Raw genomic sequence first — 27,385 nt, 5'->3', positions numbered from 1 at the left:
TCTAACTCTAGATATATAAATATAGAGAGAGATACCTATGTCTATATTTATATATAGAGATATATAGATATCTACATCGATATAAATATATAGAGAAAACACTTCACCCAACAATGTCAGAATACACATTCTTCTCAAATGGATATGGAACATTCTGCAGGAAATACCAGATACTAGGACATAAAACAAATCTCAATAAATATAAAAGAATTCATCACACAAAGTATGTTTTCTGACCACAATGGGTTGAAATTAGAAACTAAAATAAGGGAAATTCACAAATATGTGGAAATTAAATAACACATTCCTAAATAACCAATGGGTCAAAGGAGAAATCACAATGGAAATCAGAAAATAACTTGAGATCAATGAAAATAAAAATACAACTTACCAAACCTTATGGTATGCAGTGAAAGCAGTGTGCAGAAGAGAATTTATTCTATATATTAAATAACTCAAATCAGTCCCCTAACCTTACTTTTGAAAATATAGAAAAAGAAGAGCAAACTAAACCCACAGCTAGCAGAGGAAGGAAATAATATTAGTGTGGAAGTAAATGAAACAGAGAATAGAAACACAATAGAAAAAATGAATAAAACCAAAAGTTGGTTATTTGAAAAGATTAACAAAATTGACAAATCTTTAATCTAGACTGGCCAAGAGAAAAATAGACAAGACTCAATAAAATCAGGAATGAAAGAAAGGACATTACCCACCCTACAGAAATACAATGGATTAAAAAAAACTGTAAACAATCACATGCCAAGAAATTAGATAACCTATATGAAATGGAAACATTCCTAGAAAAACATCAACTACCAAAATTGCCTAAAGCTGGAAGCCACCTTCAAGCTGTGTTCTCACATGGCAGTAGGGGAGAGACAGAGAGAGAGAGAGAGAGAGAGAGAGAGAGAGAGAATGAATGAGAACATTTGTATGAGCAAATTCTCTGGTGTCTCTTCTGATAAAGGCACTACTCCCATCATGAAGGCTCCCACTGTCATGACCTCACTAAATCCAAGTGCCTCCCAGAGGCTCCAACTCCAAATACCATCACACTGGGGGTTAGGGATTCAACATACAAATTTGGGGGACACAATTCCGTCCACAGCAAGGTAACTTTAACAATTTTGTCTTCAATGTCCCTACCATTCCTCCCTATAATCTAGCTTCTATTGCAATCCCCACCCTTTAATAGTCAGACACATCTACTTCTTTCTTATTGGGTATTCAAGTCCCAAGGAAATCAGAAAATGTGATAAAGTACTTGTTTTAAGTGGCTCTGTATATTCTATCACAGTTATCCTTTTTCGCAGCCAACTTCCAAGATGGCCCCAATGATCCCCAACTCCTGGGATTCACACCTTTATGTAGTTCCTTCCAACATTGTGTTAGCGTTGGTCTGTGAGACCAAAGAATACAGCAGAAGTGAAGGTATCTCACTTCTGAGATTAGGTGATAGATAGCTCCATCCTGGGCTGCTTGATTTATCTCTCCCTTTCTTGTTCTCTTCTTTCTCTCTCTCTCATCACTTCCTCTGGGAGAAGCCAGCAGTCTTCTCATGAGGACACTCAGGCAGCCTATAAAGAGGCCCAAATGTTGAGGAACTGAGTTCTCCAGCCAACAGCCAGTGAGGAACTGAGGCTTGCTTGCTGCCAACGCTGTGAGGGAGCTTGGAAACAAACTCCCTCAGTCGAGCCTTTAGATAAGACTGCAGCCCCCACAGCAACTTGACCTCAACCTCGTGAAGCACCTTGAGCCAGAGACACCCAGTTAAGCTGAACCCAAACTGCTGATCTAGATAAATTGGTATAAAACATAGTTATGGTTTTAAGCTGTAAGGTTTGGGGGTAACTTGTTATGCATCAGATAACTACTAATATACATTGAGAACTGTTCAGTATAAATATTCTGGCTTGCTGAATAGGACATTGATGACCTCCAGACAGTTTCTGCTTGAGCCCATTTATCAAATCCAGCCCCTTTATGGATATTTATTTTAACAAATATGTTCTTGAGCTCTGAGTTGCTTCCTTATAAAAAAAATGAATCTACGATCTTTATTTTTCTTCTTGTTATCTTATTCTTGGATCTCTTCCAAATAGTTGAAGCTTCTAAATACATGGTCTCTGATTTTAAGATATTAATTCTACCTCTTCACATACGCATAACACCTAGCACATTTTGTACACCACTAGGTGATAATTCTTAATTGATTGCTTAAAGCATCTTCTTTGCCAAAGCCACCTGAAAGTTTTTTTAAAGATAAAAATAATGAAATGAAGAACACACAGGAGGTCTCAGTTTGGAATGTGTGCAGTGTGAAGGGTCACATACACGTCATTAGTTACTGTTTGAAGATTTGTAACTTTTTTTATTTTTATTTTTTATTTTTTTTGGAGATGGAGTCTTGCTCTGTCACCCAGGCTAGAGTGTAGTGGCGCAATCTCAGCTCACTGCAACCTCCACTTCTCGGATTCCAGCGATTCTTCTGTCTTAGCCCACCGAGTAGCTGGGACTACAGGTGCATGCCACCACGCCTCGCTAATATTTGTATTTTTAGTACAGATGGGATTTCACTATATTGGTCAGGCTGGTCTTGAACTCCTGACCTCAGGTGATTCACCGCCTCGGCCTCCCAAAGTGCTGGGATTATAGGTGTGAGCCACTGCGCCCGGCCATATAGTTTTGAGACAGGGTGTCATTCTGTCACTTAAGCTGGAGGGCAGTCACATAATCAGGGCCCACTGCAGCATCAATCTTCAGGTTCAAGTGATCCTCCCATCTCAGCCTCCTAAGCAGCTGGGACTACCAGTGTGCAGCCACCATGCCTGGCTAATTTTTGTATTTTTGGTAGAGATAGGGTTTTGCCATGTTGCCTAGGCTGGTCTTGAACTCCTGAGCCCAAGCAATCCACCTGCCTTGGCCTCCCAAAGTGCTGGGATTACAGGCGTGAGCCACTGTGTCCCACCAGCAACATCTTTTTTATAATGCTTGAATGATTTCATGTCATGGACATTGAGATTTTATGTCTATAAAATGATAATGGTTTAGAATAACTGAATTTATACAGAATTAATGTCTGACTGATTATAAGAAGTTGATGGCCTCCTGGCTTCTAGGTATTATTACTATTACTATTTTTAGTTTGAAGTAAAGTGGTTGGGTATGGTGATAGCTGTGGCTTACTGGAAGCAATTTTGTTTTCCTGAGAACATTGAATGATGTTCTTGTACCTACTTGTTCTTACTGGGATATATCTTTTTAAAATTTCAAATAAATAAAGGACCGCTTTGTGGTTAAGTTTTCATTTCCTGGAATCACAAAGCCGAGTATTCCTGAACTAGGTGTAGCAATGCAGCTCCTGTCATTTAATTAAATGAGCATATTTTAAATATATAATAAGTTCAAAACAATTATGATGAGATGTTTGCAGTGAGGGATAGAAAAAATATCCAAGACAAAAATATCCAAGACAAGTTCTTCCCTCAAGATAATGATCCTTTAATTTGAGAGAAAAAAATCATATATGCATGCAAAATCTAAATGTCATACATACGTGAAGATGAAAGAAATGGATGTAGCTTTAAGAGTGGGGGTGTCTTCCTGGAAAAGAGTTTAACCTCAGATAGTCTTGAAGGACCAGTAGGATACAGACGGGTGGGAAAAAGGAAAAGGAACTCCAGATGAGAGCAAATTGTCCCACATTGTGATATATTTTTTAACAGTTTATGGTTGCCAATAGCTTCCCTATGCATCAAGTCGCCCCCACAATCCTTTGAAGTGCTTAGTGCAGGTATGATTATTCCCACCTAACAAATAGGACATTTTGAGTCAGAAAACTACTTGAGACCTTTCCAGGTTAATTCATGTAAGACATGAGTTGGCAAATGGTAGCCAGCTGCCTGCTTTTTACAACTTGAAGTGGTGATATTTTAAATAATTATATAAGAAGCTATATAACATTTTTGATTGTGCCTCTTGGCCTATGATTAAATATAAATTAAACCCTGCAAAGACTAAAATATTTACTACCTGTAAGAAAGTGTGCTGATTACTAATTTAGGATCTTCATAATGTTTCAAATAAAACATTTTAAACTTATTGTAGTAAAATAAATATTTTATCATAATGAAATAAGATAAAAAGATATGGCACTATTACAGTAGACTTAAGTATGGATCATTCTGTAAGTACAATTTTATCTCTGTGTCTTTTACATCTAAACTTATACCACGTTCTTGTTATCCATCATTTTTTCAAAAATATATTGATGCTTGCGTAATATTCCATTATATGAATATAAAATAAATTATTTATGTATTATCCTGTTGTTGAACCTATAGATTCTTTGAATTCTAGTTAGTAAAAATAACATGCTAATAAATATCCTTGTACACAGGTATTTGCATCTTTGATTGTTTCATTGGTATAAAGCCCTAGAAATAGAATTACTAGTTCAAAAGTTATGAACTTACCATTTTTAAGGATTGCAATAAATATTGCTAAGCTTTTTTAAGAAAGGCTGTACCAGTTTATTATTCTAATAGTAGTGTATGAAAGTGCCTATCTTGTTACACCAGAAGAAAATCCAGGGTTCCCTTAAATATGTAGCCAGCATTACATAGGGGGTGTCTTATTTTATGGTTTTGCTGATGATTCTTGACATTAAAAAATTCTAGTATTCTTAATGGCATTTTACATTTTTAATTTCTTTTGTATTTTGTGTGTGTCTATATGTGGGTTTTTTGCCTCTTTTGTTGTTGAAATGTACATCTTGTTTCACAGATTCATAAGTAGTCTATACATATGATGATAGTGATGCTTGGTTTTTGAAATATTTTGTAGATATTTGTTCAAGTATATCATTTTATGTAAAGTTTTTCACTTGATTCTCGTGTTTTCTTGATATATTGAGTACATTTTATGATAGAATATGGTCGAATGTGTACAAAATATATGCGTTTCAAAATGTGTTATAGTGATACATACATTCTTAAACCTGAAAAATCTCTTCTTAAAGATAATATATAAGACAATCATTTACCAGTTTGGATGAGATCAGGTGTGTTCATGGTAGTATGGCCATAGACCATTTACCAATTTGGGAGAGTCACAGACAAACCCCTTTATGGAATTCATCTGCTCTGGGGCAGAATTGTAATGTGTAACCAACTGACGTTCTAGAAAAAATATAACAATTGTTCCTGGTTCCTAGCTGTGGTACTACATATATATTAGATAGAGGATGCAGAAATGGATCTGAATGGAAAAAATAGGGCCATATTGGATAGGTATGAATTCGAACTACCCATGTATTTTTTGCTCGTTTACTACAGGTATGTTTGCTACAGATATGTGTCTCTATACTTACAGATCACTGGGCGCATGATCTTATATTAGATTTATCAGACTGACAACCTTCTACCTTTGTTTTCTACTTCACCAGTGTCATCCCTCTTTCTAATAATAGTTCCATCCGTTACCTCCTTCATAATTTATGTAACAGTTGGTAGAGAAAGTAAACTTGTCAGAGTCCAATAAACTTTTATATGAGAAAAACTGTCAAAACAAATAGAAAGGGAGACATAATATATTTACTCCATTGTAGCCTTGAAGTCTTATTTTAATTTAGGCCTAACTTGTTGTCTGTGTTTAAACCCTGTTACAGTTTGAAGTTTGCCTTTCTGTTTCTCTCTCTTTCTTTCTGCCTTTGTTCCTTTTTGTCTTGCATGTTGGACTATCTGGATAAAAAATTGTTGTTGTAAGCCCTTTGATCAGTCTCCTACAAATGTTTGAATTTCACTTTTAAATCTGACTGAAATATAATGAAGAAAAAAGTGGTATAGGGTGTGCTGGTGCAAACGATAAAACCAGTTAGATTTGTACTACTGATTTCATCTGCTGAGATAAAAGGAGCTCCCATGGGTGATGTAGGGCTAATCAAGCGTTGTTATTCAGCTAGAACCATCATTCTCCCTGGGATACCAATGGTAGTGGGCTTCCATGAGTGATAGATAGGTCAGGTTCATTCTCTAATTAGGAAATTATCTTCATTTTAGAAGGAGGCTGTTTCTCTAATTACGTTGATGTGAAGTAGAGGTTGCAGAGAGAAAACTTCCTAAGTACGGATTATTGGCAACCAGCAGAACGAGGATCGTTTTTTCCGTCCTGGCCTGGTTCCAAGGGCCAAGATCATACTAATTAAAGTACAGAGAAGAGAATGACCCCAGCCTTAAGAGCTTATTTTGCCACATTTTCAATCTCTTACTGACGCTGGGTGTCTAGGCTACATTTCCTGGTAACTATGGCAACATCCCCATTTTTGTTGGCTCTCCTGGGACTCTTTTATAGGATTATCTGATTTATGCCTGCTCAGTATTTTCCATTTATATTTTACTTCCATGTCTTAAATAAAACATTTAATTGACTGAAATGTGAATTCAAAACCAGTTACATTGCACTGTTTATTGTACCCAAGCCTGTACTTCAGGAGTCTTATTTATGGAGAGGTGATCATGTTGGTAAATACATGACAGGTACTTGGAGATGCTGGTATCTCCTTGTTTTACTAAAACTCTCGGAGCAATGGTACCTCCTGAACCCGGCTGGCCTAGTTTAGCAGGATTTACTCTGTTATGAAGAAAAGAATGTTCTATTCTAAAAGTGATGGGAACTTCCAACGGTGGTTGAATCATTTGAGAGAAATGTATTACAAGATATATAAAACCTTTCCTTATGTGGTCTTCCTCAGATGAGGGAATTTGTTTCCTTGGAAGAAAATGTGGAACATCATTCTTGTGTTCATGAAAATGCTCAATAGAAACCAGTGTCTCCATCTGGTGGTGCCATCACGAGGTTTTTATACTATTTTTCAGGCCAGAAATGAACAGGAACAATTATAAAACAAAACAAAACAAAAACCAGAGTCATGTCTACTCATTTACTAACAGACTATCAAGAATGAGAGGCAGATTACTATTTTTCTGTACGAAACAATATGTTTTCTAACTAAAATATTCAGAAAAAGACTGATTTCATGCTTGCACAAGTCCAAATCATCTGTTTCATTTACTTTGAAAAGAAGAATTGCTTTGGAATGTGGACTTTGGAGGCAGAGTCCCTGGTCCAGGTCCCAGCTCTTTAATTGTCGGTGTGACCTTGGATAGGTTAATCAAGCCTCTCTGTGCCTTAGTTTCCTCATCAGTAACATGAGGATGATAGCACCTGCCTGAGGATCATCGTGGGCATGAAGTGAGCTAATACAGGAAAGGTCTTAGGGGCTTGGAACACAGAGAGCACTCTGTTAGGCATTAGTATTTTCCTAATGCTATTGAGTTTTCCTTTATTTCAAAGAATATGCTTTATTTATTGTACATAAACTCATATTGCTAACTTAAGAAAAGGTGGTTATCCCTTCTCTTACTAACATTTTTTAAAAAACAAAAACTACTTAGTATTACTCAGTTGAAGTAAACTCATTATGAAGAATTTTGTATTTTCATAATGATTGCAGGGAAGATTTATTTCCTAGATTGCACCAATCTAATGACTCACTGGAACCTAATGAGATACCAGAATTTCAGTACTTATGGATAGTACCATGAAATTTTTCTGTTATTAACAGAAGTTAATGTCCATTTTAAAGATGGGGAAAGAAATGTTTTGTGTATGTATAATTTTTTTAACATTGAGAGGCATAGATTTCTTACTAGATACATGTGTTCTGTTACTGACACCTGAATAATTCTTTTAGGGAAAGTCCTTGGAAGTTTTCCATGCTCTTGTTAGCTTTATGAAGTACCCTCCTTAGTATGTTATGTGAAATGTTCAAAATCTAACCCAGGCCATCTTTGATAGTGTGTGCGGGCCACATATACTATCTGGCTCTATCACCTGGGGTGGGGCAAAGACCATCATACTTAGGATTTAACCAGGAAAGTTCCTTTGCCTTTGATGTTGGCACAGCCATATCTGTATGGAACTCTCTTACATTTCCATTCTTACCATCTGTGATGCATGACTGTCTCCTTTATGTAACAGGTCTGGGAAGTGGAAATATGTTTGCTACAAATCTACTTCCCCTCATTTCTATCACTTTCCTCCTGTTCTCCACTCTCACCTGTCCTCCTACAGTTCCATAATTTTTGCATTGAAACCTGGTAACTAGCCTAACAGAAGAGTTTTAGATAGACAGAGGAATTCATGCTTTTGGAGGGCACAAATGTGGTACTGAATAGGGATTTTGTTTATTCCGAATTATTTTTAGGAAATCCAACCAGTGGTAAATTAAAAATATTGCTTAATGAGATTTTTAACATTTCTACCTATACACTTATTTTAAACAATTTGTTGTTTAGACATATAATTTGTTAAGGTTGGTGGGATCTTTGAGGATGATTCTCTGAGTATTTTTTTAATCATCATATCGCAAGGCTGTTAACATAGTTTAGCTATTTGTCCATGCCCAAATCTCATATTGAATTGTAATATTTCTACCTATACACTTTCTACCTATACACTTATTTTAAACAATTTGTTGTTTAGACATACAATTTGTTGTTTAGACATATAATTTGTTGTTTAGACATACAATTTGTTAAGGTTGATGGGATCTTTGAGGATGATTCTCTGACATGAGTATTTTTTTAATCATCATATCGCAAGGCTGTTAACATAGTTTAGCTATTTGTCCATGCCCAAATCTCATATTGAATTGTAATCTCCAATGATGGAGGTGGGACCTGGTGGGAGGCGTTTGGGTCATGGAGGCGGATTCCTCACAAATAGTTTAGTGCTGTCTTCTTGATAGTGGGTGAGTTCTTAGAGTTCTGGTTAAGTGTGTGGTATCACCCGACTTCAAACTATACTACAAGGCTACAGTGACCAAAACGTCATGGTACTGGTACAAAAACAGGCACATAGACCAATGGAACAGAATAGAGAGCCCAGAAATAAGGCCCCACATCTATGATCTTTGACAAAGCTGACAAAAACAAGCAATGGGGAAAAGACTCCCTATTCAATAAATTTTGCTGGGCTAACTGGCTAGTCATATGCAGAAGATTAAAGCTGGACCTCTTCCTTACACTCTATACAAAAATCAACTCAAGATGGATTAAAGACTTAAATGTAAAACCTAAAACTATAGGAACCCTGAAAGACAACCTAGGCAAACCATTCTGGACCTAGGAATGGGCAAAGATTTCATGACAAAGACACCAAAAGCAATCGCGACAAAAGCAAAAATTGACAAATAGGATCTAATTAAACTTAAGAGCTGCACAGCAAAAGAAACTAACAACAGAGGAAACAACAGAGGAAACCTACAGAATGGGAGAAAATATTTGCAAACTATACGTCTGACAAAGGTCTAATATCTGGCATCTATAAGGAACTTATCAAATTTACAAGAGAAAAACAAACAACTGCATTAAAAAGTGGGCAAAGGATATGAACAGACATTTCTCAAAAGAAGACATATATGTGGCCAACAAGCATATTAAAAGAAGCTGAATATCAATGATCATTAGAGAAATACAAATATAGTTACCTTATCCTGCTGGGAAACTCCTAGTACTATAGCTATAAGTTAATTGGCAGCTTCTGATTGGTTAGCCTGAAGTGTCATTTCTCTCTCTCTCTCTTTTTTTTTTTCTTTAGACAGGGTCTAGTTCTGTTGCCCAGGCTGAAGTGCAGTGGTGCAATCTTGGCTTACTGCAACCTCCATTTCCTGGGTTTAAATGATTCTCCCACCTCAGCTTCCCAGGTAGCTGGGACTAAAGATGCACGCCACCACGCCCGACCAATTTTTATATCTTTTAGAGACAGGTTTCACTATTTTGGCCAGGCTGGTCTTGAACTCCTGAGCTCAGGTGATCCACCCGCCTCGGCCTCCCAAAGTGCTGGGATTATGGGCTTGAGCCACTGTGCCCAGCCTCATTTCTGTTTAATAGAGGTGTTTACAAGAAACAGCTCAAGGTAAGTTTTGCTTATATTTACAAATCAAGGCAGGCTGAGGTCACTTATGAAGCCTAACTGGCTTTGTCTGCTCAGGGGTTCTTCAGGCCTGGCCTCCATTTTAATTTACTTTGACAGCTGCAAACCATTGTATGAGGTCAGTGATTCTCAAGTTTTATCTGCATCAGAATCACCTGGGGGACTTGTTAAACACACACGGTGAGCCACACCCGAGTTACTGATTCAGTGGGTTGAGGGTGACACCTCAAAGTTTCTAACAATTTCCCAGGTGGTGATGATGCTGCTGCCCCAGGAACTATCCTTTGAGAACTAGTGATTGAGGTTATACAGAGATCCCTTATCCCAGAAGAAGCCTTTTTGACTCTGAGATAAAGGTAAACATTTGCTTAAGGGGATCAAAATTGTCCATGATTTTAACAAATTCTGGAGTGGACTTAGTTCTCATGTCTCCTTCTCCCCACCGTCTTCCCTTGTTTCCTGGGCTGCTGTTCCCTCCTACCTGGTTAATGTTAATTCAGGCTCTTCTAGTTCATTTGTGAGCAAAATTAACGTGTCATGGTATTATCCAAAACAGATGGTTCCCTCCCATGAGTAATTCTGGTGCTAGAGGTTAAGATAATGATTATTTTCACCTCGTTATTAAATACACATGATGATGATAACACGGTAATAATTCTCTGGATTATTTCTCTAATAATCTCAAAATGAAACTCAGGTGTCTTTAGATCTTTCCCTCTTTTTTGCTTGTTTTTTTTCCCCAATGTTTTCATTTTTTGCAGTCTGGACATTATATCAAATGTCTTCAAAATGTGTACTTAAGAAGTTCAATTTGCATTTTCACTCTGATAGGGGAGGGGAGAGTTTGTGGATATGTCAGGGCTAAGGTAAGTTTGAGGGTCAAATTCAAGAAACTATTCGTAAAAAGTATATTTAATGACCGATTCTAATAACTTTTTCATCCTCTTGTTCCTATCCAGGGGTTGTTCAGTGGCTAATTATTGTCATATTAATTTGGCATGTGTAAAATTCAGTTTCTGTAAGAATGTCACCCTGGATGCAGCTGAAAAACTTTGCAAAAATTGTAGATGATAAGAGAATGTTGATTATGCCCACTCATGTCTCTTTTAGTCTTATTTGTCATCATAAAGTGAAGAGGAAGCCTGACATTGGCTGTGTACTGGCTTGTGTTTCTTCATAAGCCCTCATTGTTTCCATTGTATTAACACAGAATTGTAGCAATCATTAAGTATTTCCCAGAAAATAGCTTCTGGTAATTTCATTTAAAGATAAACCAAGTTTTCATGACCTTTCCAATAGCAGAAAATACATTAGTTTCTTTGTACTTTGGAATTCATATAAAAATTCCAAAGTGAAAAATATTTGGAAAAAATTAAAACTAAAAATTTTTCAGTCATGAGTGACTTCTGATTTTGGAATACTGTTTATCAGAATTATATAATAAGCTAATGGGAAAAAAAATCAGGACTTGTCAGACTTGAAGTTAGCATTTCAGGTGTCCCATATTTCAAGAATTATGTGAGTAGTCCTACTTTGCTCTGTGAAATCCAAGCTTTTTGAGTAAAAGCTGAGGTTTTTGTAATGAATTTTTCATAAAATTGGGGAATCCATTGAGCAAACACTTCTATAGGGCACTCTGGGCCTTTTTAGATTTCAAAGCAAACAAAATAATAGAACAATTTGAGAAAATTTGGTTTGCCAATAGTAAATATCACCTAGAAAAATAAATAATTTGTTTATTGCTGGAAAACATTGAGAGCTGAAAGGACATAATAAAATCTACCTTATCTTTAAAAATCTTCTGTAAAGGCATGGCATTCTCAACAAATATGTTGGTGGGGAAAGAATCTGTCTTCTACCTCATTTTGTGGCAAATGTGACCTTTTTTTTTTTCTTAACTAGACCTTCACTTTATCCACATATCTTCTATGATATTAAAGACTTGCAAAATCAAGGAATTCATGTAATATCATTAGGAATCTTGATTCTGTATTTCTAATTACTACATTAGTGAAAATTAGTGTCCTGGTTCATTGTTAATCTAAGACTCAAAAGTATTGGTAAAGAGAGATTTATTTGAATATCTTATCTTTTAAATACTGAATCATATAATGCTTTCCAGAGGAATAGGAGTGGCTTTAGATTTTTTTTTTTTTTTCTGAGACAGTCTCGCTCTGTCACCAGGCTGTAGTACAGTGGCGCCATCTCGGCTCACTGCAACTTTCGACTCCCTGGTTCAAGCAGTTCTCCTGCCTCAGCCTCCAGAGTAGCTGGGATTACAGGCACGTGCCACCACGCCCAGGTAATTTTTGTATTTTTAGTAGAGGCGGGGTTTCACTGTGGTGGCCAGGCTGGTCTCAATCTCCTGACCTTGTGATCTGCCCACCTTGTCCTCCCAAAGTGCTGGGATTACAGGTGTGAGCCACCGTGCCCTGCCGGCTTTAGAATTTTTTAGATCTCTTTCTGACTTATCTAGTTTGTCTTATTTTGTACTTCTGGGAACAGGAGCTTTAATCTTTTTTTTTTCTAAATATAGATGAATATTTTAACATCTCTTCATGTTATAGCATTGGTAACTACTTTCATGTCACACAGAAAATGTATATTTCTCCATTATTTTGGAGGACTATGAATGTATCTATGACCTAACAATGTACTTATTACATCCCCTAGAGCTAAAATAAATTTTTGAGTGTTTTGAGATCAAATTCATAGGCTTCCGTAGGAAGAAATCTACTGTGGTCTTCAGAACATAATTTGTCTTTAGTTAGAATATTAGCTTGGGAAAAAGGTGTGTCCTAAGCAGCTGTAAAATAGTAAAATAGGAAATGTTGACATGCCTATCATTCTGATAGTTCTAACATTAAAATGAGCATAACTGCCTAAGAATTGTTTATAATTATTTATAATGTATAAACCCTGTCTACTTTCAAAAAGACTTTGAGGCTTTTTATAAGTAAAAACATATACACGCACACACATACAACTGAGCAATTCAAAATTATATTAAGAAAAAGTTGATTGGAAACCAATTACAGAAAGAATATAAATAGAATTGGGGTTAAGCTGAGAACTGCAGTTTAACAATGGAAGTCTATACAGACTCAATTCAGACTGTAAGTTGGAATTTGCTGGAAGGTAAGGCAACATGGGGAACAAAATAAACATCATGATTCTTTCTGCCATCTAAAAAGAGGCCTACCAATACTTCACAAAGGCAAAATTAATACTCTTGAAGGAGAATTGATCATAGGATCCTTCTGTAATATTAAGAAGACAAAATTGCATAAGGTTATGCAGATGATGGTCAGTTGGTATTTTCTTATTTTTAAAATTTTAAGTAAGTTAATATAATTTCCAGTCTTCCTGCATTCTACCATTTCCTTGTGATGACTTCACTTCTTTCCCTACAGGTTGATTACTATGTTGTTTTAAAAAATTTTAGAGGTGCCGGAGGTAAAAGACTGGTTTGAAAATAAGAAGGTTCCTTAGCAATGCATAAATTTAACTTGTGCTATGAGAATACATGAAATGTGTTCATCCTTCCCTTTTTCCTACAGTGCAGGGTTGACAAACTTTCTGTAAAGGGCCAGAGGGGAACTATTTCAGGCTTTGCAGGCCATATGTGTGTCACAGCTACTCAGCCATTTTCTTGCAGTGTGAAAGCTAATGAGTGAGACCATGTTACAGTAAAGCTTTATGGACACTGAAATTTGAATTTCATATAACTTTCACATGTCCTAAAATATGTTTCTTTTGATTTTTTTTAAACATAAAAACCATTTCAGTGAATGGGCCCTACAATAGTGGGTCATGGGCTGGATATACTGACATCTGATATCTCTCAAAGGGCCAACATCCTTTCCTTTGGAATATGGCTGGTTTTTAACTTAGGTATTCTCAACATCCCCTCACTAAACACAGACAGGTGACAAATTCTAACAACAGACTTGTAATTCTCAAGTTTGATGCTACCTTTCTCCTTTGAGAAACAGTAAGTACTAGTCATAGTCAAGGTTATTTGAAAGATTTTTCATGCATTTATCATGCTTAGAATCCAGGCTCAGCTGTATCCACTCCAGATAATCTGTGATCCTTTGTTTTCATCTTCTTTTTTGTTGTTGTTAGATTGAAGATTCTCCATCTCTGTGGCTGCACCATCACTTCTGACCTGAGCAAAATAAAAGGAGCTTACAGAAGTGTCAAAGTATTTCATGACATATCTGCCCTTACCTGCTAACATTTTCAGGAAAATAGAGTTTCTGCCAACAAAGATATTGAAAATATACATAAATATGCCCAGGAGTTTTCACCATTAAAGTGAGGTATACATTATTTTTCAGTTCGGAAATAATCAAGAAATAATTGTATGTGAAGCTTCAGCATCATACCAAATAATGCATTTTTCTATGCCAAACACCACCTCCTCCAAATAATGATAAAGTTAAAAAGTACTAAACTTTAAATATTGGTATTTTCTTGCTTGTTTACATTATTGGTTTGTAATGGTTTTAACTCTTGACTAAGATTACTACTAATTGGCATATTGTAATCTACTTTCCTTTAGCCACTCAACATATCATGAGAGAAGAGTAAGTCAGATAGCTCTAGAAGGAATATTTTACTCTTTAGTATTTAATTGTATGCACAGTGGCTTTATATGTACACTACAGCAAATATGGTATTGATTTCTGCAGGCCTTGTGCCAGGATATTGCAGTGGCTTCCAGATAGCCCACACATCACATAGGGTTCTTTCTCAACTGCACCCTTAGACATGAATCTCTAGAAAATATTGCATGCCAAGGAAGTGGTTGTACACTGCCTTCACTGGGTTACCATTAAGAGGAGGATTCATATCAGTGTGGAAGGTTGAGGGAAGTAAGAAAGATAAGCAGTAGTGCAACATTAACAATAAGCACCATGGAGGGGTGGGGTAGAAGGTGGGGTGGTGGGGGTGGTGACTTTGTCTCAGTATCATTGCTGAAGATTATGGAGATCAACCTTAAAGGTATTCTGTGTAGAGGGCAAGTGAGTTGGGGTATTTATTCTACCATGCATTGTTTATGGGCTTCTTCCAGAGGGGATATAAATTTCCAGGCACCTATGGCTCTCTGAATATACAGGTAAAGCAAACCCTACCAGCAGGAGGGTACTCCTCCAAGAAGTGATGCAGGGGCTGGTTTGTGGAAGTGCATGGGGGACTTATGGGGATGGGGCTGAGCAAAACAGCATCTGCTACATGCGTGATGGAGAGAAACGTGCCACAAATTTGAACTGGGTGATCTGGGCTTGAACCCTACTTCTACTAGCTGTGTGATTTTACTTATATCACTCAACCTGATGCTTAGTGTTTTCCTCTCTAAAACTGAGAAACCTACTTTATGAAAGATGCTTAAAAGAGTAAATAACATAGCTGTGATGGTTGAGTGCCAACTTGATTGAAGGATGCAAAGTATTGTTCCTGTATGTGTCTGTGAGGGTATCACCAAAGGAGATTAACATTTGAGTCAGTGGACTGGGAGAGGCAGACCCACCCTCAATCTGGGTGGGCACCATCTAATCAGCTGCCAGTGTGGCTGGGATAAAAGCAGGCAGAAGAAAGTGGAATGAGCAGACTTGCTGAGTCATCTATTTCCCAAGCTAGATGCTTCCTACCTTCAAACATAAGACCCCAAGTTCTTCAGCTTTTGGAATCTTGGACTTACACTAGTGGTTTGCCAGGGGCTCTTGGGCCTTTGGCCACATACTGAAGGCTGCACTGTTGGCTTCACTGCTTTTGAGGTTTTGGGACTCAGACTGGCTTCCTTGCTCCTCAGCTTGCAGATGGCCTATTGTGGGACTTCACCTTGTGATCGTGTGAGTCAATACTCCTTAATAAACTCCCTTTCATATATACATCTGTCCTATTAGTTCTGTCCCTCTAGAGAACCCTGACTAATGCAGTAGCAAAGTGGCAAAGTGGGGAAAGGATACTGGACAGAGGAAACAGCGTGCAGGAAGTATGGAGTCTTAAAAATAGTGCATATTTTGGAAACAGTATTGCTGGAGGGCAGGGTACATGGGCAGAAGGTATGAGGATGGTGTTGGGGTCCTGTGGGATACTTAGAAGGGAAGCCTAATCTCTGTATGGAAGGTCAGGCAAATGATACTAAGTTAAGGACTAAAGTAGGGGAGGAGAATACCTGGTCAATAGGGTGGACTGAGCTGATGTGGGAAATACATCATCCTACTTCAAACATACAGAAATGTCGAAAATAATTTAAGAAAAAGATTAAAGATGGTCTCAAATTTTTAACTCCTCCTCCTGCATCGAGAGGTGGAGACTAATGACCTTCCCCTTGAGTCTGGGTTGGCCTTAGTGATGAATAGAAGGTGCCACACCAATAGAAGGTAGCAGAACTAATGTCCTGGGACTTCCAAGGCTAGATTGTATAAGAAGTCTTGCAGCTTTAGAAGAAGACTCATTGAATATTCATCCTTAAAACCCTGAGGCAATAAGACACCCACTTACCAGATGGAGATACCATGTGAAGCAGCCCTGAGGCCACATGGAAAGTGAGGGTTGGATTAGAATGAAATCCATCAGTATAATTCACCACTGTTAACAAAATGAAGGAAGCCGTGTGCAGTGGCTCACACCTGTAATCCCAGCACTTCAGGAGGCCAAGATGGGCAGACTGCTTGAGATCAGGAGTTCAAAACCAGCCTGGGCAATGATGAAACCCCCCATCTCTACAAAAATATAAAAAATTAGCTAGGTGTGGTGGTGTGCGCCTGTGGTTCCAGCTACTCAAGAGGCTGAGGTGGGAGGATGGCTTGAGACCTGGAGGCAGAGGTTGCCATGAGCTGAGATGGTGCCACTGCACTCATGCCTGGGTGACAGAGCCAGACCCTGTCTCAAAAAACAAAAAAACAGAAACAGAATGAAAGAGCAAAAACAACACGATCATTTAAGTAGATGCCAGAAGCATCTAACAAAATACAAAATCCACTCATGATAAATATTCTCAGCCATGTATGAATAGAGAATTTCCAAACCCAATAAAGGGCATCTACAAATAGACCCTCTAGTCACCATCGCAATGGTAAAAGATTAAATGATTCCTCCCCATCCCCTGTGACTAGGAATAAAGCAAGACTATCTGTTCTTACTATTGCAATTCTACCTTGTATTAGAAGTCCAAATCAGTGCAACAAAGCAAGAAAAAGAAATAAAAGACATACAGATTGAAAATGAAGAAGCAAAACCATCTTTTCTTCCCCATAGATGACATAATTGTGTATGGAGAAAATTCTAAGAATTCTATAAAACAGCCACCACAACTAAAAAGTGAGTTTAGCAAGGCCTCAGAATACAAGTTCATCATTATAAAAATCAACTGAATTTTTATACACTGGTAACAATTGGAGATTGAAATTAAAGTGTTATGTCTTCTACAATAGCATAAAATCAGAATATACTTAGGGATAAATTTAACAAAATATGTGAAAGACCTATAAATCATAACCTACTCAACATTGTTGAGAGAAAATAAAGAAAATTAAACAGAGAGATATAATCTCATTGATGGGCAGATTCAATATTATTAAGATATCAGTTCTCCCAAGATTGAGCTGTAAGATTCAACACAATCATGATATCTACAGAATGTATTTTTGTGTAAATTGACAAACTGATCTTAAAATTTCTATGGTAATACCTAGGACCAGGAATATCCAAAACAACTTTGAAAAATAATAACAAATTTGGAAGACTGATACTACTTGATTTTGAGACTTATATTCAATTTATTATCAGGCAATGTAATCAAGACCATATGGTGTTGGTGAAAGAATAGATGAAAAGTCAATAGAAAGGAATGTAATGTAGAGCCCAGAAAGAAACCCACACATATGTAGTCATTTGATTTCTAACAAAGGTGATTCAACAGGGAGAGGATAGTGTTTTTAAAAAAATAACACTGGAAGAACTGAATATCCATACAGAGAAAAGTGAACTTCAACTTTTTATTCATTTAATACACAAAAATTAACTTAAAATGTATCATAGAAGCAATGGTAAATAAAACTATAATATTTCTAGTAAGAAAAGGGATATCTTTGCAACTCTGGGTAGACAGATGCTTCTTAGATGGGTCATAAAAATACATACTATAACTGAAAAACTGATAAGTTGAATTTCATCAAAACCAAAACTATCTACTCTTAAAAAGTTACCATTAAAAAAATGTAAAGGCAAAGCACAGATTTTCAAAGTACCTATATATGTGACAGAGGACTTGTTTCCAGAATATGTAAAGAACTCTTACAACTGAATAAAATGACACAATAAAAAGTGGACAAATGATTTGAACAGACATTTCATAAAAGAAGATGCAAGAATGGTTGATAGACATATGAAAAGTTGTGCAACATCATTAGTCAACAGAGAAATGCAAATTAAACCTATAGTCCATATTACATATCCATTAGAATTCTTAAAGAGACTGATGCTACCAAGGGTTGACAAGAATGTGGAGCAACTGGAATTCTCTTACATTTCAGGTAGGAATGTTAAATTGTACAGTCACTTTGGAAAGCACTTAGTTGCTTTTAAAGCTAAATATATACCTACCATATGACCCAGCAATCTTATTGCTAGGAACTTCCTCAAGAGAAAATAAAACGTATGTTCCTTAATACAAAGACTTGTACAGGAATAGTCAAGGCAGTTTTATTCACAATAGCCAAAACCTGGAAATGACCCAAATATCAATCAACAAAGTAATGGATGCACACTCTGTGGTATAATGTATAATGTGATCCTATTCATTACTAGAAAGAAATGAACTACTGAATTAATCTAAACACCTTCTGCTGAGCAAAGAAAGCCAGGCATGGAAGAGTGCATAGTGTACAATTCTATTGACATAAAACTCTAGAAAAGACACATCACATTAAATCTATATTGAGCAAGAGTAGGTTGGTGGTGACCTGGGGTCTGCAGTTGGGTGAAAGAAGGGGAAGGGGGTCAATGGCAATTTTGGCATTGTGGAAATATTCTATATCTTGATTAAGTAGAAGTTAAACAGATATTTACATCTGTGCAAGCTCATTAAACTATACTTTAAAATTGGTGCATTTTATCGTATGTAAATTTTACCTCATTAAAAGTGATTAAGAAATAATTTCATTCTCAGTAACAGTGGTCGAAACGCTCAAGTTTATTTATGCTGAAGAAACTTAAGTAGGATCCTTCTTAGTATCCTCACAGTTTCATAACACATTACTTCTTCTCTACAGTAATATTTGCTTTAAAGGTTTTAACAGTTTCTGTTTGCAAAAAGTATTATCAGTTGGACAATATTAAATGGCATGTTTACAAGACCAAAAATGAAAGTCCTCAAAAGCTACTTATTTTAACATAAACTTGCATGACAAATAGTTTCCAGTGCAACAACCTGTCATGTTCTGCAACCAGCCTTTTGTCAGAGTTTTGATCCTTTAACACTTACCTCCTTCCCCGTTTTTTTCTTCTTTAAGAAAACAAACTTACACTTGTGTATTAGTTTACAATTACTGTAAGCAAATGACCACAAACTTAGCAACTTGAAACACCACTCATTTATCATCTCAGTTCTGTGGTTCTGAAGTCCAGGAACAGCTGAACTGTGTTCTCAGCTCAGTATCTCACAGTGCTAAAATCAATATGTCGATTTGATTTCAAGCTGGGGATGTGTTCTCATCACAAGCTCAGAGTCCTCTGCCAAGTTCATTCAGGTTGTTGGCAGGTTTCAATTCCTTGCAGCTATAGGACTGAGGTACCCATTTCCTTGCTGGCTGTCAGCAGGGTGACATCCTCAGCTCCTTAGAGGCTATCTTCAGGTCCTAGCCACCTGGTGTTCTCATGACATGGCAGCTCACTTCTTCAAAGCCAGGAGGGGAATGGAATCATATAACATAATGTAATCACAGGAGTGATTATCCCATTATATTCACAGGTCCTGCTCACTTCATGCAGAGCATGTACACCAAGGGGTGGGAACCAGCGTGCCATTGTAGAATTCTGCTTTCCACAGTTTGCTTTTTCTGCTGTCCAAAAGTGAACTGAGGTCCATTTATTTTTATTAGATTTGATTTCTCTACTTCTTGCATATATAATATGAAACAGCGACCAGGTATGGCGGCTCACGCCTGTAATCTTAGCACTTCAGAAGGCCGAGTCAGGCGGATCTCCAGCCAAAGTGTTTGAGACCAGTCTGGGCAACGTAGAGAAACTCTACAAAAAATACAAAAAAAATTAACTGGGAGTAGTGGTGCGTGCCTGTAGTCCCAGTGACTCCAGCGACTGAGACGGGAGGATCACCTAAGTCCAGGGAGGTTGAGGCTGCAGTGAGCCATGATCACACCACTGCACTCCAGCCTACGAGAAAGTGACACCCTGTCACAAAAAATAAATACATAAATAATAAATAAAAAACACAAACTTTTGTCTTAACTGAGAGGAGCAAGATGGATGAGACATACAGTTTGCTAATGTGGGAAAATGACATGAGTTTTGCTTAGTCATCACAAAATGGAATCAGAAGTTTGAAATACAATACTTCTTGCTCAGTTCTAATAATGAACGCCAACTCTGCTCTGGTTCAAGACATGTAATGGTATTTGATATTGTTTGAAACATTACAGATACTTAATTTTTTTAAATGAAAGATTTTCCAAAGTCTGATAACTGCCAACACAACACATACACAACAATGCTATACATTAATTATAGAAACAATATGCAGTCAAAGGGGAAGTTCAGCTGGGTCTCTAATGCTTCATTTTAAAAAATAGATCTGAGGCAAATAGGATAGGATGTTCACATTTGCTAATTATGGATAGCAGTATATAAGTGTTATTATTTTCTCTTTTTCATGCTTTACATAAAGGGTCAGTGGATCACTATGATATACGCTGACACATTCCTTTTCGCAAAATCTACCTTTTTCCTGTAGCTTCCTTAGGAATAGTAAGCTCTGAGTATATATTCATGAGAAAACTAAGACTCAGCTCTTACAGGGGTATGTATGTTTCAGAGTGTTCCTGAACCTACTAGTGGGTGCCTCAGTGGTATGCCATTACTAAGGTATCTAGTTCCATTTTCAATGGCATTTCGGATCTTTCTGGGGCAAAGTAACTGCAGTGTTAAGTCATGCTCTGAGAAGCACTCTCGTACCTGAAGGAAATCTTACAGGGTGGATTACAATAGGTTTCCACTAAAAGCTTTCCCTACTTACCAATGAAAAGCAGGTTAAAGTGGTATTGCTCATTCCCGTTATGGGAAGTTGGGCCAATTTATGATGTAGGAGCAAAGGATCACTTCTCATGACTCACCACCCTAGTCACTGTCTAACACGAGGTCTCCTCAAGTATGTTTTGAGAGCACTAAGTCTGTGGAAAGCTCACGGAAATTGAAACCAAACCAAACCAAAACCCCAAACTCAAAGTTACCATAGTCAAATACATTTAGGAAATATTCGATCAAACAGCTTTATCTCAAAGGAATATAATAGGATTCTTTCTAAAATTTATTTGTGTTTTACAAATGTATCTGATCACAAAATTATTTCTTTCCAAAGATGTCTTTTCACTGCTTTGAGAAACATGCTCTAACAAGATTATCTCTGATTTTTAAAATCTTTGAGCAGCCAGAGAGGAAGCTGATCTTTCGAAAAGTCATGCTGACAATCATGGGCAAGCTCTCCTTACCTACTAATTCATTGGCTCTCAAAGCCTGCTCTGTTATCTCCAGTTCCTGGCTAGCTGTTTCTGGATGCTAAAATAAAAAGAAGCACCTCCTATTTCTTTCTTTTCTCTTTGCTGTTTGTTGAAAATAATTAGAGACAGATTATATGACCGTGGCTTTCCCCTGAGTATATTGCTGGGGTTATTCAAAAACATTCCTGCTGCCTGATACCTGAACTGACATACACACTAAGTGATGTATTTATGAGTGGCAGGTCACAATGCAATTGTGTAAACGTTTGTAGAAAAAGCAGGATCCAATTCTTTTACTTAAGCTGGGAAATGGTTTGGTTAGACAGAAGAGAGAAAAGCTAAAAGATCTGCTTGATATTTACATTTTGTCCTGATAGTAAGGAGCTACTAACGTAATCATGTGATGAAGTGTGGCTTATTTGGGGGACAATAAAAGCCATGATAGAGACTAAAGGGTGAAATATTTGATCTATGTAGTCAGAGCAAATTACAGAGGGCTGTGGATGCTCGGATTAAGAGTTTACCTTTAGTTCTCTTTTTATTGGAGCACCACTGGGGGTTTATGAGTTAGGGTACAGGCTTCCTCAACCTCAGCACAATTGACATTTTTGGCCAGATAATTCTTTGTAATGGGAAGGAGGGGAGGCTCTGGCCTGTGCATTACAGGATATTCCGTAGCATCCCTGCAGCTACCTACTAGAGGCCAGGAGCATCTACCCCTTATCAAATTAAGACAGCCAAAAATGTCATCAGACACTGCCAAATGTCCCCTGCGAAACAAAATTGTTGACTGATTGAGAATTAAAGAGTAGAGAATGATAGAATAATTGGTGTTTGAGAAGGACTGTCCAGCTGTGGTTGTGCAGAATAAACAGGATGTTAGGACAAGAGCCTGGGAGAATATATTAGAGGCTGTCTCTTTACCTTAGGTATGGTATATTGTAACAGTAAGAGCCTCCAATGAAGTACATTTCTCTGTATCCCTGTTTTTTTTGTAGTCCCTTCCCACACTGACTTAGGGCTTGGCCATGTGACTTGCCAATGTGACTTGTCAATGGAATATCAGCAAATATGACATAAGCTAAAGCTTGAAGAGCACTTGTACACTGGGGCTTACTCGCTTGGAACATTGCCACCATGTGACAAAACTCATGCTAGCTTCCTGAAGACACATGGCCCAGCCAACAGCCAGCACCAGCTTCCAGAAAAATGAGTGAGACTCTATAACCATCCAGCCCCAGTTGAGTCAACAAGAAAACCACCTGAGAGATCCCAGGCAAGCCAGCAGACAAACCACCTAGCTGAGCCCTGCCCAAATTGATGATAATGGAATTATGAACAAATAAAATGGTAGCACTTTTAGATCACTACTGTTGTTATGCAGTGATAAATAACTGATATCGGAGGTCTGAAGTATATTAATATTGGTAGAAATAAGAATAAGAAAAATGCATGCACAAGACATTTGGAATAATTTGTGTGTTTTTTGTTTTTGTTTTGTGTTTTTTGTTTTGAGACATAGTCTTGCTCTGTTGCCCAGGCTGGAGTGCAGTGGCGCGATCTCGGCTCACTGCAACCTCTGCCTCTCAGGTTCGAGTGATTCTCCTGCCTCAGCTATCCAAGTAGCTGGGACTAAAGGTGCCCGCCACCACGCCCAGCTAATTTTTTGTATTTTTAGTAGAGACAGGCTTTCACCATGTTGGTCAGGCTGGTCTCGAACTCCTGACTTCAAGTGATCCACCCACCTCAGCCTCCCAAAGTGCTGGGATTACAGGCATGAGCCACTGTGCCAGGCCAATTCGTGTTTCTTGATGACTCTTCAATGAAGGGGCTTAGGGAAAGGGCAAAGCAGGTCACAGAACATAAGAATTCAGAAAAAATGAGCACAAAGGTCAGAGTAAAAATTCAGGAATAAAGTTGTGCAAGCAATCTTCAAAAAAGCACTTCTTCCTAAGCAGTTAAAAACATGAAAGCATCTATTTTTAAAGACATAGATATCCATTAGTTGCTAACAGTATAAATATAATAATAGTTCAAAGATTTAGTTTAATAAGTATATTTGTAAAGCTTTAAAGGCATTACCAAGCCAGCTACTTTTAAATTCATATGGAAAAATCAATCTTTAGAATAAACAGGAAAGCACATAAGCTCAAAATCAATAACAACTTACATTGCACTAATGATAAGATTCATTGTATTAGCTGTCCAACTGTATACAACTATATTCACTTAGCAATTAGGTTGCTAAGACCAGGACTTCTAATGGAATGCCTCTCATAATTTACCAGTTAAATTTTCAGATGGGGGTTATCAGTAGTAGTTACAGTTTAATAGAAGCTGTTAGTGTTGACCATGTTTATTGTACAATTCAAGAGGAAATAGTTCCCCAGATGTTTAGCACTTAGCTTTATGTTTAAGAACACTAGCCTAGTAGGAACGTGTCAGTAATATCCCTTACTTAATGATCACATTTTTAAAAAATCAAAGTAATAAACGATAAAGAGAATCCAGAATGAGATAAAAGAAAAATACAGAGTCAGAAAGTCTAAAATGTGGAGGAAATGGATAATGTAAATAAAGTAAAAATGAGCCAAATATATCTTCACAGGCTATGAGAATCGCCTAAAGGCACGGTTACATAAGCCGTATGACAGACTGAGGGTCTCCTGGAAAAGGATGGAAAAAGTGTTTAAAAGGATCAAAATGGGTGGATTTTAAAGATCTCATATCCATTAAGCAGTGTTAAAGAAACAATAGTATTGTCGAAAAAAGTGTTTAAAACCAAAGGGTAACCTACCTTTGGATATGTAATTTCCATAAAGTTTGTTTAAGTAAAAAAACCTACAAAACGACCTCAGTCTTTGTTTAAACAATGCTGTCTGCCAAACGATTTTGTTTATCAAATTTTTTCTCAGGTTTTGGAGACAAGGATTGAGAAAAAATGTGGAATTGGAGATCTGGAAGATCTGTGTTTAAGCAGTGGGACCTTAACGTTAGACGCACAAAAATGCGTTAACGAAAGCCAGTAAAATTGAGAATGGGGTCTTCTGGTAAATCTTGTACTTTGGTTTGTAAGAAACTTCTATATAAAGAAGTTTATCAAGTTTCGGGAGTAAGATAATAAAATGCACTTAACCCATTCGGAATCCTACCCCTACCTACCTTACCTCTGTGCGGTTAGCTTCTGACGCGCGCGCCAGCACGTTCTGTGGAGAAGCGGAGCGCTGGGCTCTACCTGAGCAGCGCTTACGCCGAAGGGCAATGCTCCCCCCGAATCCCAGTTCCGGCCAGCCAGGTCTCCCCCACCTGCGCGGCAAGCAGCGGTGGACTCCGGGGCGTGGGAACTGGAGAAGCGGTGGCGCGCGCTCCTCCTCCCTGGCTGGGCGGAGCTGCACCCGCCGGGAAAGTGGCGAGAGCCACCTCGGCGCTTGGGCGCTCAGTCGCAGGAGGCGCTCCTTGGCGGTGCCTGGAGCCCGGGCGCACCCCACCGCTCCCGGGACCTGTTGGGGGCTGGCCCGAACCGTCGTCGAAGGGAGCCGCTCGGCCACCCCCGACGTTCCTCGCCCCGCCCGACGTTCCCTCAAGTGGCCGAACCAGCCGGACGAGCCAAACTCGCCGGGCCTCCCGGCGGCAGCAGGTGGCCCCGTCCTTCCAGGGAGGGCCCTGCGCCCCGCGGCGCTCCGGAGCCCTCTCGGCCGCCCCCGCCAGGCGGGATGGAGGCGGATGGGGACGGAGAGGAGCTGGCCCGGCTGCGCTCAGTCTTCGCCGCCTGCGACGCGAACCGCTCGGGGCGCCTGGAGCGCGAGGAGTTCCGGGCACTGTGCACGGAGCTGCGGGTGCGGCCGGCCGACGCCGAGGCAGTATTCCAGCGGCTGGACGCCGACCGTGACGGCGCCATCACCTTCCAGGAGTTCGCGCGTGGCTTCCTCGGGTCCCTCCGCGGGGGGCGGCGCCGGGACTGGGGTCCTCTGGATCCCGCGCCCGCCGTGTCTGAGGCGGGGCCGGAGACACACGACAGCGAGGAGGACGAAGGCGACGAGGACGCGGCGGCGGCGCTGGCCACCTCGTGCGGCCCGGCGAGTCCCGGCCGGGCTTGGCAGGATTTCCAGGCGCGACTTGGGGACGAAGCCAAGTTCATTCCCAGGTGCGAGTGTGAGCTGGGGGCGGGAGGTTATTCTGGCGCTTCCTGCTTGCTTCTTCCCACTTACTTGCAGGTGTGCAGACCCAATGGCCCCCCCCCCTAGTCTTCTCTGTGAGTTGCTTGTCTTCCTTCACCTACTCGCTTTGACTTTTCCAAGATCCGCTAGAGTTAAGAAAAAGGAGTCAGAGAGTCAGCGTTTGGGGAGAAAGTTTTACGTGCTGAATCCTGAGCCTGCAAAGGGCGGCGTGTTCATTACAGGAGCTCTCCTGAAATCTGCAGCTGCTGGCGCCCCGCGCGAGTTTAGGCGCGCGCGCCACATCTCACCGCGTCCTGGTTACGTCACCTTCTACCCCAGGCCTTAGGCTCTCACCCCAGGGCTGGGGCCCGGGCTGTTTGCCAATTTGGCGTCCTCTGTAATAGTTTTCTGATTTGTCGTTTTCCTAAGACTATAGAAAAGGAAACTTTGTTGGGCTTTTACATTGCTGGACACAAATATTGATTGATGTACCTGCTAGGCATTTTACAGAGTTCACGCATTTAATTTTCATAACATCCCTAGAAGGTAGGCTAGCTTATTTCTGAACTTAGACCTAGAAATTAGACAGACGTTAAGGGACTTGCCCAGTTAAACAGCAGAGATTTGACCCAAATTTTGTGAACTGAAAAACTCACTTTTTATGTGACGGAATAAAATGATAAAATGACACAGTATATTCTCTGCTCTTACTGCTCTGACAGAAATAACGTGTCAAGTCACGGACTTAATTATCAGGAGGTAAGGGGATGCCTGCAGGTGGGATTTCAGGGCCTGGAGGGAGAGAGGCTCAGATTTTCTTTTTGAGTTTCGTTTGCATTTGTCCATGCCTTGGTGTGGTGGGTGTCTCCAGCTGCTATTTTTCACTTCATGCCCCAGCGATACACACATTTCAGTGCTGTTAAGTGTTTTTCTGCTTTATGTTTGGATTTTAGCTGAAATTTTGCTGAGCTCTGGCTGTCGTTATTAAGACGCTCTGAAAGGCATCATTTTGGTTGGCAGTTTGCACATCTGAGACAGAACATTGAAAAGGAAGTATCCCTGGAAGGTTGTCAGTGTGCTTGTTCATTGGAAGCCCTCACTTCCTTCTCCTCCCAACTTCTCCCTCCAGCTTGGAAAGTAAGGGGAATATTGGGCATGGAGAGTGACTCACTGCCATAGAAGGGTTGTGTAGAGAAAGTGGGTGTGTAACGATCTTTTCTGTTATTTACAAATGAGTTACTCCCCAACCAGGGAAGTAGCAAAATTTAAACACTGCTACAACCTATACTCTTTATTTGAGTCATCTTTCATCTGTAACTTAGTTTGGGTGCAGCTAGTTAAAAAAAGTAAGAATTTTAGGAATGAGGCAGGGTGAGTCCACATCATATTGGATATGATGTATGCATACATGTGGATCTGTTTTTCACAGTTGTCTAGTCTCAGCAACAAATATTTCACACACAACCTTAAATGATTGAAATGACC

General features: G+C 39.0%; 1 protein-coding gene across 3 annotated transcripts in view; it reads left to right on the top strand.

Moving 5' to 3' along the window:
• RASEF (RAS and EF-hand domain containing) overlaps positions 1–27,385 on the top strand; it is a 239,635-nt gene that overhangs the window by 130,901 nt on the left and 81,349 nt on the right. For 2 of the 3 annotated variants that reach the window (XM_005251730.5, NM_152573.4), the window contains exon 1: positions 25,182–25,887. The exons of the other annotated variant lie outside the window; for it this stretch is intronic. In XM_005251730.5, coding sequence (XP_005251787.1) covers positions 25,457–25,887 — 431 coding nt within the window. In that variant the 5' untranslated portion in view covers positions 25,182–25,456. Of the gene's footprint in view, positions 1–25,181; positions 25,888–27,385 lie in introns of those variants that run through there. 3 annotated transcript variants of the gene reach the window in all.

Source organism: Homo sapiens, chromosome 9, assembly GCF_000001405.40.
Source record: "Homo sapiens chromosome 9, GRCh38.p14 Primary Assembly".
Classification (NCBI taxonomy): domain Eukaryota; kingdom Metazoa; phylum Chordata; class Mammalia; order Primates; family Hominidae; genus Homo; species Homo sapiens.
This window is presented reverse-complemented; position numbering and strand designations above follow the sequence as displayed.